The sequence below is a fragment of the Homo sapiens genome, chromosome 12, assembly GCF_000001405.40.
Source record: "Homo sapiens chromosome 12, GRCh38.p14 Primary Assembly".
Taxonomy (NCBI): Eukaryota; Metazoa; Chordata; class Mammalia; order Primates; family Hominidae; genus Homo; species Homo sapiens.
Window position 1 is genome coordinate 100,370,141 of NC_000012.12, and position 13,267 is coordinate 100,383,407.

Consider the following 13,267-nt stretch of genomic DNA (forward strand, 5'->3'; position numbering starts at 1 on the left):
TGGGGGTCTTACTATGTTGCCCAGGCTGGTCTCAAACTCCTGGCCTCAAGCAATCCTCTCACCTTGGCCTCCCAAAGTTCCAGGATTACAGGTGTGAGCCACTGTGCTGGGCCTTGGTTTTTAAACTCTGTCAATTAATCTAAATTTATTTTTTATTTTTTATTTTTTATTTTTGAGATGGAGTTTTGCTCTTGTCACCTAGGCTGGAGTGCAAAGGCACAATCTCAGCTCACTACAACCTCTGCCTCCTGGGTTCAGGCGATTCTCCTGCCTCAGCCTTCTGGGTAGCTGGGATTACAGGCATGCACCACCATGTCCAGCTAATTTTGTATTTATAATAGAGATGGAGTTTTGCCATGTTGGCCAGGCTGGTCTTGAACTCCTGACCTCAAGTGATCTGCATGCCTTGGCCTACCAAAGTGCTGGGGTTACAGGCATGAGCCACCGTGCCCAGCCAATTAATCTAAATTCTAAAAAAAAAAAAAAAAAAAAAAGCAAAGACCCATACACACATTATACCAGATAAACAAAACATGGCTATGGGCCACATATGGCCATTGGGCTTTCAGCTTGTCATCTGTGACTTAGGCTTTTAAAGCCATAGAGACTATCTTTTTTTCCTCTTGTTCATCTAATGATCCCTGCTGAGGTAAGAAGCAGTGAGTCTCTGCTTAAATGGGGGGATAGGAAAGGGTCAAATTACCAGGAGGAAACAAAAACAGCATAGGTTAATACCTCAAAATCTATGAAGCTGGGCTGAGTGCTAGGGATTTTTGGTTCCTGACTTTCTGAAATTATAATCTACTGGAAGAGGCAAATATTAATTTAAAAATGAGAGACATAGATACTGTGGGAGCATTGACTGGGCTGGCGTTGGCCAGGTGCACTTTATTGAGCTCCTTTTGAATGTGGTGTGCTGAAATCCATGCTGATAAGATCCTATTTCAAATCTCAAACTAGCTCTGGGGATCGTATTTTAAATTCTCCTTCCTTTCTTTAAAATTTACCATTTATTGATTATTTATCAAGTGCCAGGAATTATGCTAAGCATTTTGTAACTCGGTCTCATTTAACGTTCACAGTAGTCCCATCTTCCTTTCATAAATGAGGGAACTCAGGTTGAGGGAAGTTAGGTAATTTGCTCAAGGCCACATACCTAATAAATACCACAGTCAGCATTGAACCCAGTACTGTCTGTCTCCAGGGCATGTTCTCTGAATCCCACTGCAATACTCCTCCAGAACCTTTAAAAAAAAGTCTCTGTAGGTAAAGCACTCGCCATTCGTCAGGCGCTTTCTGATTAGTTCGTGTGGCACACTGGTAGCAATAGGCTGGATAGCAAATCTCAGTTGTGTTCTCCCTTCACCAGCTGCAGCTGGATGATCCTTGGGCAAGTTTTTTTTGTTTGTTTGTTTTCTTTTCTTTTGTTTTGTTTTTTAAGTCAGAGTTCTCACTCTGTCACCCAGGCTGGAGTGCAGTTCACTGCAACCGCCACCTCCCAGGTTCAAGTGATTCTCCTGCTTCAGCCTCCTGAGTAGCTGGGATTACAGGTGCTTGCCAGCACACCCGGCTAACTTTTTTGTATTTTTAGTAGAGATGGGTTTTCACCATGTTGGCCAGGCTGGTCTTGAACTCTGAGCTCAGGTGATCCACCTGCCTTGGCCTTCCAAATTGTTGGGATTACAGCCGTGAGCCACCGTGCCCAGCTGGGCAAGGTTTTAAATATTCTGAGTGTCTCAGTCTTCTGAGCGTCTCAGTCTTCTGAGCAGTAAGATGGGGATATCTCCTATTTGTCAAGACTATTTTGAGAATTAAGGGAGATAATATATATTTTATAGAAACCTCGTGGAGTCCCTAGAGTGTAGCAAGTAGTCAACGTCCTTCAGTTAATTTTCTTCTTCCAGTAGAATAGCAACTCAAGGATCGTGTAAAAGACAACATGAGCTAAATGGGACCTTTTCAGAGGGCAAATTTGAATGCTGTATTTGTTTGCTAGGGCTGCCACAACAAAATACTACAGAATGGGTGGCTTAACAAACAGAAATTTATTTTCTCACAGTTCTGGAAGCTAGAAGTCCAAGATCAAGGTTTGATTTCTCCTGAGGCCTTTGTCCTTGGCTTGCAGATATTGCCTTCTTGCTATGTCCTCAGATGGCTTTCCTCTATGCATATGCATCCCTGGTGTCTCTGTGTGTCCAAGTCTCTTTTTATTTATGTATTTTTTTGAAACAGGGTCTCACTCTGTCACCCAGCCTGGAGTGCAGTGGCGAGATCATAGTTCACTGCAGTGTCCAACTCCTGGGCTTAAGTGATCCTCTCCCCTCAGCCTCCCAAGTAGCTGGGACCACAGGCATCCATGCCACCACACCTGGCTCAAATGTCCTCTTCTTATAAGGACATTATTCATATTAGATGAGGGCCCACCCTAAGGGCCTCATTTAACCATAATTACGTCCTTAAGCACCTCATCCTAAATATAGCCACATTTGGTGGTACTGGGGGTTAAGACTTCAACACATGAATTTTGGGTCACACATTTCAGTTCATACCAAATACAGTGAGCAAGTAAATTGATTTAAAAATACTGTTTTATATATATATTTAACTTTAGATAGGCTCTCTCTATATTGCCCATGCTGGTCTCGAACTCCTGGGCTCAAGGGATCCTCCTGCCTCAGCGTCCCAAACTGCTAGGATTGCAGGCGTGAGCCACCACGCCCAGCCAGTAAATGGATTTTTAAAATACGTAAAATTATCTGCAAGTTCTCTCACTTTGTGCTCCAAATGTTGATCTTATTACCTATGAAACAAAACAAAACAAAACCTTTTCCGCAATTAGTGGGAACATTTGAATTGCAAAGAAATAGTTCTTTAAGTGCCTAAGGACTAGTTAGCATATCTTAGGCAATTAGACCCCTGGGGCTTGGATGTTTGCTGGACAACTGTGCCTGAGAACAGAGAGCAGGCACCTCCCTAGTGTGCAGAGGGCCAGCAGTCTGCAGACCGCGGCTGTCTATATTTGGAGAAACAACAATGAGAATGTCACTCTAGAAAGAATGAAGATTCTCTGATCTAAAAGACCAACTGCAGTCAAGCAGGGAAGGAAAACGAAATGGGATAAATAGCTATTATGGATAATTAAAGTCCTCCAACTCCTAAGAAATGAGTTCGTTTTTCTTCTCTTATTCTTAAATAACTTTCTCGTCTCCTCCCCTTTTTATAAAGCCTTTTTTCTGGGCAGGATGAATAGATCCTTAACCCTGTCTGTAAGTGCTTCAAGCCAGGAGTGATGTCTGGAATTGATCCACCAATTCCATTCAGTTGGACAAGGATTCATTGCTTCCAGGCACGATGCTGAACATGGAGAATAAAGATGAGTTGGAAATGGTCCTGGGATCAGGGAGACCTTCATTCATATATGGACACAAATCAGTGACTTTTTTTTTTTTTTTTTTTTTTTCCGAGACAGAGTCTCGCTCTGTCACCCAGGCTGGAGTGCAATGGCACCATCTCGGCTCACTGCAACCTCCGCCTCCTAGGTTCAAGAGATTCTCCTGCCTCAGCCTCCCGAGTAGCTGGGATTACAGGTGCCAGCCACTATGCCCAGCTGATTTTTGTATTTTTAGTAGAGACGGGGTTTCATTCACCATGTTGGTTAGGCTGGTCTCGAACCCCTAATTTCAGGTGATCCTCTCGCCTCAGCCTTCCAAAGTGCTCAGATTACAGGCATGAGCCACTGTGCCTGGCCCAAATCAGTGGCTATTTACTTAGCACCTATGCTGCTGAATGAAAATGACTCTAACTCCATGTGAGAAGTGTTCTAACAGAGGAATGTATAAAATGCCAAGGAAACACCAGGGATGGCAGAGACCCTAACGTTCAGGCAATGTCTATTCATTTATTGGTGATAATGTGTTAGTCTTTGTAGGGTCGGCTCATGTATCTCTGTGAGATAAATATTTATTGTACAGAAGAGGATATGTGAGATTCAGAGAGGCCAGGTTATTTGCCCCCAAGTCACACAGCTCGCGTATCAGTGGCAGAGCTGGAAATCAAATCCAGGTTATCTGACTGCCCAGAAGCCTGGTGTGTTCCATGATACAGGGTGAGGGGGTTCTGTCTTCCTCTGTGAGCTAGGCTATACAAGAAATGGCCTGCTATTTGAATGCTTTTAAAACAAATCAAATCTGGTCAGGCATAGTGGTTCACACCTATAATCCCAACACTCTGGGAGACTGAGATGGGTGGATTGCTTGAGGCCAGAAGTTCCACACCAGCCTGGCCAACACGCTGAAACCCTGTCTCTACTAAAAATACAAAAATTAGCCGGGCGTGGTGGCCTACGCCTGTAATCCCAGCTACTCGGGAGGCTGAGGCACAAGAATTGCTTGAACCTGGGAGGCGGAAGTTGCAGTGAGCCAAGATTGCGCCACTGCACTCCAACCTGGGTGACAGTGCAAGACTCCGTCTCAAAAAAATAAATAAAACAAAACAAATCAAATCTGACTCTGAGCCCCCTGCCTGGGGGAAGTTAGATTTCTGTTCATTTTGATGCTCCCCTTTTGCCACAGCAATATTATGCAAAGGACTCACAAACAACTCAGGAGGTCCTGCTAATTATTGATCCTCATTTGCTCCTGAGCCCATGATCCCTTGAAGTGGTGGCTCAGCTGCCACTTTGGGCAAAGAAAAGTGAGATCCTGTGCTCAGACCCCTCCCCACAGCTCCTGATATCCCATCTCCAACTGGAGAGCTGCTGTGAGGGGCTGGCTTCAGGTCAGCCAGCTGTAGGTCCTGCTTCTTGTGGAGCCCACAGCTCCTTCTTTCAGGGCTTTCCCTTTGATCGTTACTTTCCCCTTCTTTCTCCCCATCTCCCATACTGTATGTCTTCCCTCTGGAAAGTCTCGGGATGTCTAAGATGACACTGTGCACACAGAGGGTGCTTGTGTTGGTTCAGGTCTTCCAAGAAAGCAGATACCAAGACAGGACTCGGCACATACGAGATATGGTCTCGCTCTGTTTTCCAGGCTGGAGTGCAGTGGCACAATCACAGCTCACTGCAGCCTCAAACTCTTGAGCTCAAGTGATCTTCCTGCCTCCGCCTCCCAAAGTACTTGGATTACAGGCATGAGTTACTACACCTGGCCAAGAGATTTATTGAGGGAAAATGGGGAAGGAGCTGGAGGAGGCTGGGGGAGCATTCAAACTGCTACCTGTGTAGGAGAGAGGGAAGGAAGAAAAGCTAGGTGGGAAGACTTTCAGACTATATTACAATACTGGGACATTTTGGCATGGCCAGTGCAGAGTCCTAGAGCCAGTCGCTGTCAGAGGAGTCCTGCCTCTGGCAGGAAAGAACGGCCTCACATCCCTGCGGTGCTCAGTTCTTGGCAGAATAACAGCCTGTGAGAAAGAGGCGCTGTCCCCACGCCAAATGGGTGGTTGATTCAGAGCACAGCAGCTGGGGCTGTCTGCAATTAAGCAGTGCAAAGCTCCACAGCGCTTTCAGTTTTCATTAGCCTTCATCTAAAGCATCTGCATGTATATAGAGAGCGCTAAGCTTATGACTGGTGACACTTTATTAATAGCAATAGTGATAGTACTTACCACTTATTAATATAAAGCACTTTTTACGTACCAGGCACTGCCGTGAATCATTTACATGCATCAATCATTGAACAACCCTATGAGATACCCATTACGATTAGCCCAGTTTAGAGATAGGGATTCTTATGGGCTGAATTGTGTCTTCATATGGATCTGCCCAAATTCATTATGGTGAAATTCTAACCCTCAGTACCTCAGAATATGAGTATATTTGGAGATAGGGTCTTTAAAAAGGTAATTAAGGTTAAATGAGGTCCTTACGGTAGGCCCTAATCGAATATGACTGATGTCCTTATATGAAGAAAAAATTGGGACACACGGATACATAGAAGGAAGACTATGTGAAGGCACAGGGAGAAGAGAGCCATCTGCAAGCCAAAAAGAAAGGCCTCAGAAGAAACCAAGGCCTGCTGAAACCTGGATCTCAGATTTCTGGCTCTAGAATTGTAGGAAAATACATTTCTGTTGTTTAGGCCACCTAGTTTGTGGTGCTTTGTTACAGCATCCCTGGAAGACTAGTAGAAGGTCAAGTAACTTAGCCAAAGTCACAGAGCTAGCACAAGGGAGAGATAGCACTGGGCATCTCTCAGTCCAGAGTCCATTCTCTTCCCCTGCTCTTCTGAGTCATGATGGCTGCGCAAGGACTACAAAGTAACAGGTACAGATGACAAAGTGACTCAGGAAGATCATTGAGAAGGAGCATGGCCTGGTGTGCTGGGAACACACAGGAAAGTGGTCCAAGGAACCTAGACAGCAAAGGAGAAGGGTTTCATATCTTGCCTCTACCCACTAAGGGCTGTGTGACCTTGGCCAATTTGTTCTTGCTTTCTGAACTACAGTTGTATTTTGTGTCAAATGGGAGTATTAGATTTCCCATGTCTCACTGAGCTGTATTAATGATCAAATAAGAGAATTACATGAAAGTATCTGTAGAGGAGGGCAGAGGGAGAGAACTGAATTTGCCTCATACAATATTACTGTGGTTGTTACATATTATCCTTGTTTTAGCTGCTAGGAATATACTATTATAGTAATGTGTCAATATTAGAGCATCAGTTTTCTTTCTTTTCTTTTCTTTTTTTTGAGATGGAGTCTCACTCTGTTACCCAGGCTGGAGTGCAGCAGTGCAATCTCAGCTCACTGTAACCTCTGCCTCCAAGGTTCAAGTGATTCTCATGCCTCAGCCTCCGGAGTAGCTGGGACTACAGGTGCTCGCCACCATGCCTGGCTAATTTTTGCATTTTTAGTAGAGACGGGGTTTTGCCGTGTTGGTCAGTCTGGTCTCGAACTCCTGACCTCAGGTGATCTGCCCACCTCAGCTTCTCAAAGTGCTGGGATTACAGGCGTGAGCTACCACGCCAGGCCTAGAGCATCAGTTTTCCATCCTACTTAAGTTACACGTATTTGGTTGCCAGAAATTCATGGAGACTACTAGGGCAGCCCATTATAAAGTCCTATCATCCAACTGCCTCTCAGAGCTAATGGCATCAATGCTAAGTCTAGCATCATAGACTCATTAAGTGACGGTGAGGATTAACGTAATAAAAATAGCTGGTATATGTTGCTTTTTATTATGTGGCAAGTTCTGTTCTAAATTACCTAAGTTTGATAACTCATTTATGACAATCCTAAGAACAACCCTATGAAGAAGAAACTATTATAATTCCTAGCTTACAGATGAAGAAACTGAAGTCCAGGGAGTTTAAGTAATTAGGCTAAAGTCACACAGCTGAGTAAGTGGGCGACTCAACATTCAAAGTAAGGTACATGAGCTCCTCAGTTGGACATAGATTGGAGAAGTGAGGCATCCAAGATGGCTTCAAGATATATATATATATATATTTTTTTTTTTTTTTTTTTTTTTGAGACGGAGTCTCACTGTCATGAAGACTGGAATGCAATGCCGCTATATCAGCTCACTGCAGCCTCCGCCTCCCAGATTCAAGTGATTCTCCTGCCTCAGTCTCCCGAGTAGCTGGGACTACAGGCGCGTGCCACCACGGCCAGCTAATTTTTGTATTTTTAGTAGAGACGGAGTTTGCCATGTTGGCCAGGCTGGTCTCGAACTCCTGACCTCAGGTGATCTACCTGCCTTGGCCTCCCAAAGTGCTGGGATTACAGGCGTGAGCCACCGCGCCCAGCCTGATGGCTTCAAGATTTTTGCTGGAGCAACCAAAGTAGCAAAATTGTCATTACTTATGATGAGAATAACTTCAGGAATTAATTTTTTTTTAGGGGAAGTCAGTTTGGACATGTTAAGTTTAAGCTGCCTTTTAGGTGTCCAAGGAGATGTCAGATAAGTCTAGTTATAAAGATTGGGAGCTGTTAGCATATACATGGTATCTAAAGCCCAGAGCCTGCTTAGATGTCCAGAGGGCATAGACAGAAAGCAAGAGACCCGAGAATGGAGTCCTAGGCATTCTAGTGTATATAGGTTGAGGTAAGAAGGAATCAGCTATAAGAGATAAAACAGAAGAATTAGGAGGATGACCAAGTGTTTTCCTGGAAAAACATAAAATGGCCAAGAAAGAGAAAGTGGTCAATTGTATCAAATGCTGCTGCTAGGTTGATTAAATCAGATGAGGACTGAAAATGACCTTTGGACTGAGCCATGAGGAGGGCATTGATAACCTTAAGTAGGGCAGTTTTGGGGGCTCAGGTTGGGAATACCTGGCTGGAGTGGGTCCAGGAGAGAACAGGAGGAGAGGAATTGAAGACAGTCATTTCTTTCTTAAAAAAAGGAAAATGAGAAATAGGAGGATAACTGAAAGAGAAAATGTCTTTTATTTTAGATTCTAATATGGGAGGAATAAAAGCTTATTTATAGGCAACAGGAATGATCTATTATACTAGGGAGGAGAACATAATGAATGAAGCGTGGGGGTGGGGATTTCTGGAGCAATATTCGTGAGGGGATAAAAGGGGACAAGATCTAGTGTCCAGGGAAAGGGGCTGGACTTAGCTAGAAGCATGGACAACTGCATAGACCCCATCAGTATAAATGCAGGCCGGCAGGTAGGTAGGTACATTGGTAGGGAAATGGTTAGGTTCTTTTCCAATTGCTTTAATGTTCTGGCACATTTACTAAGCTTCTACTCTGGGCTCACCGGTTGAAATTCAAAGCTCCTTCCCTTGTTCTACCATTGCTTTTCACTTTGATTTCAATAAAACCCACATCATCCAGTAATTATAGCTGCTTGTATATGTGTCTTTCTTCCCCATCAGCCTAAGAGCTGGAAGAAGGCAGATAATATGTCACGTTGTCTATTGCTCCCCAATACTTAGCCCAGTACCTGAGACACAGTAGGCGCTCAATATATATCTGATGAACTGAATTGAATCCAGTGTATTTGTTTCTCTATACTTGTGCCGGAAATTTGATTTCCTTGAGTCATAAGAACCTGCCAAGGTGCCGGGGGCGGTGGCTCACGCCTGTAATCCCAGCACTTTGGGAGGCCAAGGTGGGCGGATCACGAGGTCAGGAGATCGAAACCATCCTGGCTAACACGGTGAAACCCCGTCTCTACTAAAAATACAAAAATTATCTGGGTGTGGTGGCGCATGGCTGTAATCCCAGCTACTCAGGAAGTTGAGGCAGGAGAATTGCTTGAGCTAGGGAGTCAGAGATTGCAGTGAGCCGAGAATCGTGCCACTGCACTCCAGCCTGGCAACAGACCGAGATTCCGTCCCCAAAAAAAAAAAAAAAAGAACCTGCCAAGGTTATCTTTCATATGAACTTGTGGGCAAATGACTTGTGTTTTATCCAAACTATTGGGTTAACCATTATATTAGCTATTTATCACTGCATTTAATATTTATGAAAACTTGCAAGCTTTAATTATTTTTAAAAAGACTTGGACCTTAAGTGGGCCATGACAGTATCCTCAGAAAGATGACAATAAGTAAGAGGATACAACTTCCTTTATAATTGACAGATAGGGTTCCGTTTGTCCAATTACTTTTTTTTTAAAAGAAGAGATAAATTCACTGTAATGAATGTGCCATAATTGGAATCTATAGAGGTCTACCATTTGAATAAAAGGTGCTGGATGATCACCTCCTTAGAGGAACCATCTAAGGAGAAAAGGATATACAACCAAATGGGTGTGCATTGTGATAGAAAATGTCCCTCTCCACCTCCACTTAGTATTTTATTAAGACTTAGAAAAATTAGGCCGGGCACAGTGCCTCACACCTATAATCCCAGCACTTTGGGAGGCTGAGGCGGGCGGATCATCTGAGTCGGGAGTTTGAGACCAGCCTGACCAACATGGAGAAACCCCGTCTCTACTGAAAATACAAAAATTAGCCTGGCATGGTGGTGCAGACCTGTAATCCCAGCTACTCAGGAGGCTGATGTGAGAGAATCGCTTGAACCTGGGAAGCAGAGGTTGCGGGGAGCCGAGATCGTGCCATTGCATTCCAGCCTGGGCAACGGGCAACAAAAGCAAAACTCCGTCTCAAAAAAAAAAAAAAAGACTTAGAAAGGTTAAGGTCAACTGTATCAGCTGGGTCGAGCAATGTGAACAAAGTCTGTCAATGCTCTTTCAGCAGGAAATGCAGTATAGCATATTGTTTTAGACATAGACTCTGGACTTGGGCCTCTATCCTACCTCAAATGACTTAGTTTCCTCATCTATAAAATGACATGATGACACTGTCTACCTCATGGGGTTGTTATAAAATTTAAATGATTGATTGAATGTTTATAAAAGTCCCACACAATACCCAGAACATCAGTAGTTTTAGCCACTATAACTTACTTTAATAATAATAATAATATTTAATAATAATAATAACTTACTTTAATAATAATAGTAATACCTCCATAGTATTCTACTATGGGTCTTCCTTTTTGTTTTTCATCTGCTGGTACCTTTTTTCTTTTTGCTTAGTATACTTTCTTTTTCCTTTAATCCTGGCTTTTATTTTCTGCCTATCCTTTTTCCCATGTAGAAAAATCGATGGGACAACTGAGGAAGAAGATAACATTGAGCTGAATGAAGAAGGAAGGCCGGTGCAGACGTCCAGGCCAAGCCCCCCACTCTGCGACTGCCACTGCTGCGGCCTCCCCAAGCGTTACATCATTGCTATCATGAGTGGGCTGGGATTCTGCATTTCCTTTGGGATCCGGTGCAATCTTGGAGTTGCCATTGTGGAAATGGTCAACAATAGCACCGTATATGTTGATGGAAAACCGGAAATTCAGGTTGGTATCAGTCCATGGTGGAAGACTTTTCTTTTTGAGACAGGGTCTCGCTCGGTCTCCCAGGCTAGAGTACAGTGGCACGATCTTGGCTTACTGCAGCCCCAACCTGCCAGGTTGAAATTAACCTCCCATCTCAGCATCCTCCCATTTCAGCATCTCAGATAAGTAGCTCCTCCCATCTCAGCATCTCAGCATCTCAGCATCTCAGCATCTCAGATCAGTAGCTGAGACTACAATCCTGAGGAAACTGTTGACTGCAGCTGTGTCAATACTTTGCTCCTTGAGAGAAAGCCCTGCAATTCCTTCAGTGATATGACAAAAATGGAGAGTGGCTACTTGTGCTGGGCATTGTGCAGAATGATGGGGATAGAAAGGTGAATGACCTAGACTGAGCCCTGTCCTCATGGAGACAAGTAAGTGATGACAGTTTGAGGGGGTAGGTGCCACGTTGGAGGTACACAGGATTCTTGGGCTCATAGGAGAGGGCACAGCCCAGACTTCCCTATTGTGAACAAATTCCCAAAGTGATGGCTGGACCAGGCAAAGAGGGTGTGGTGTGGTGGGAAGAAGAATGTTTGAAGAAAAAGGTACTGTGAAGGACTGTAAGAAAGAGACAGAGAGAGAGAGAGAGAGAGAGAACGTACACATGCTATGTAGGTATATTTTAGGAACTGAAACAGGAGCTCATCATCTTTTCTGTGTCATGGACTCCTGGAGATGACTAATGAACCTTTGCCAAAGTAATGTTTTAAGTTCTTAAAATAAAACACAAAGGATGACAAAAGAAGCCAATTATATTAAAATATAAATACCAAAACATTTAAAAATCACATTTGTGACATAGAAACATATGGGCTTCTTTAGTAGTACATCAGTGACAAAATCTAGTATTGGGTCTAACATTTACTCTGATTTTAAGTTGGAATGTATGCCATTGTTGGAAATAGTGGCCATGACTGTAATACGATTTGAACATATTTGCTATTTCCACGTGGGACACAGTCATAGGTACTAGTCATATGACGGTGGCTTGTTGCCTACATTCATAATGGCAGAAAATGCTAAATTTTGGTTAAGAGTGAAAATAAAGATGCATGTTTTCTTCCCATCCAAGTTCTCAGATGCACAGGATTCCATCCACAGACTCCAGGTTGAGAACTCCCAGTGATTGGGTAGAGCACGTTGAGGTGGAGGCAGCGAAGTAAATAGGGGGCTGATCATCCATAGCCTGGTAGGCATGTAGCAAGGGGCTGCAAGCATGGAATGATCACATCTGTGCTCCAGATTGTTCACTGCCCCATTGCAGGGGGCCAGATTGAGGTAAGATAGGAATGGAGGCCACAGGGCCAGTTCAGAGGCCATCATAGTTATAAGCAAGGATACTTCGAAGTGACTTAAATAGTATTGTTTTAGGAATCACTGGAAACATAAAATCTGGTTTGCTGCTTAAACGATAGACCTAGAGAAGTACTGAGGTTATGGGGTAAAAGAAACAAACAAAAATGTCTGCCCAGTGGACACCCCATAAATGCATGTTTCATCGTACTAAACTCACACACTGCAATGACTCATGCAGAAATCCGTTCATCTGCAGAGAGACATTTAATAGTTCTCTGGTCCCTCCCTCTATTTGAAGAAACATTTAGATCACAGTTTTTTGAACTAGTGTCTGGGAAATCACTGCACTGCAGGCTGTGCCATGAAGAAGGCAGTGCGAGACCTGGAGCCCATACTGTGCTGTGTCTTATGAGACTTTCCAAGAGGGAGACGTGGTAGGCAATATTTTCTGGACTGACTTGATCATAGAATGCTCTCTTTCATGCCATATCTATTAGCATCATCTGGCACAGTCTCCTGCCAGGCACTGGTTTGAGAAAATTTGATTTCAATCTGTCAAAAGAAGTCTTTAGTTGGTCTGCAAGCTATTTGTTTTTGCTTTTTTCAAACCAAGAGATTATTCTGCCAGAGGAAAACAGCACCATGGAGATCCTCCTAACTAGTCTCTATTTGATGCCACAGCCAAATCTGTCCTAAAAGGATATCCTGTCTTTTGTGGGGTGTGGGGGATAGAGGTAGAAGGGCATATCATGCGTTTTTAAAATAAAGAATGATGTATATTAGCAAGGTTTCAGATGTGTATCACATGCATTCTTTCAGCCTTTTGTGAGCAAGACCAGCTAATTAAAACTTGTCTGCTGAGGCCCAGATCAAAATGAGATGCTGTTTTGCATTTGTTTGTTGCCTGAAAAGATAGACCTTGGTCAATAGAGTCTGCTCTGAGGCATATGGAAAAGACATTTTGATTAACCCGAGGAACAATGCTAGTGTGCGCTCTCTAGTTTCTACGGCTGTGCCCTCTGGAGTCTTAGAGAAACTGATTAAAATCTGAAATATGGTTTAAATTTTTTTCCTCTGGACTCAGGAGTAGGAATTTAGTATCAGTAACTCTAGTAC

At 43.6% G+C, this 13,267-nt stretch overlaps 1 protein-coding gene across 2 annotated transcripts in view, besides 1 other annotated feature; it reads left to right on the plus strand.

Annotated features, from left to right (window-relative positions):
- Positions 1 to 13,267, plus strand: part of SLC17A8 (solute carrier family 17 member 8) — a 64,982-nt gene that overhangs the window by 13,067 nt on the left and 38,648 nt on the right. For both annotated transcript variants that reach the window (NM_139319.3, NM_001145288.2), the window contains exon 2: positions 10,561 to 10,813. In NM_139319.3, coding sequence (NP_647480.1) covers positions 10,561 to 10,813 — 253 coding nt within the window. The remainder of the gene's footprint in view (positions 1 to 10,560; positions 10,814 to 13,267) is intronic.
- Positions 2,559 to 3,308: an enhancer, noted in NCBI's record as "OCT4-NANOG-H3K4me1 hESC enhancer chr12:100766477-100767226 (GRCh37/hg19 assembly coordinates)". NCBI's record gives its function as "activates a minimal SCP1, AML or CMV promoter by ChIP-STARR-seq in naive H9 embryonic stem cells {active_cell/tissue: H9 hESC(naive)}" and the evidence as "EXISTENCE:reporter gene assay evidence [ECO:0000049][PMID:30033119]".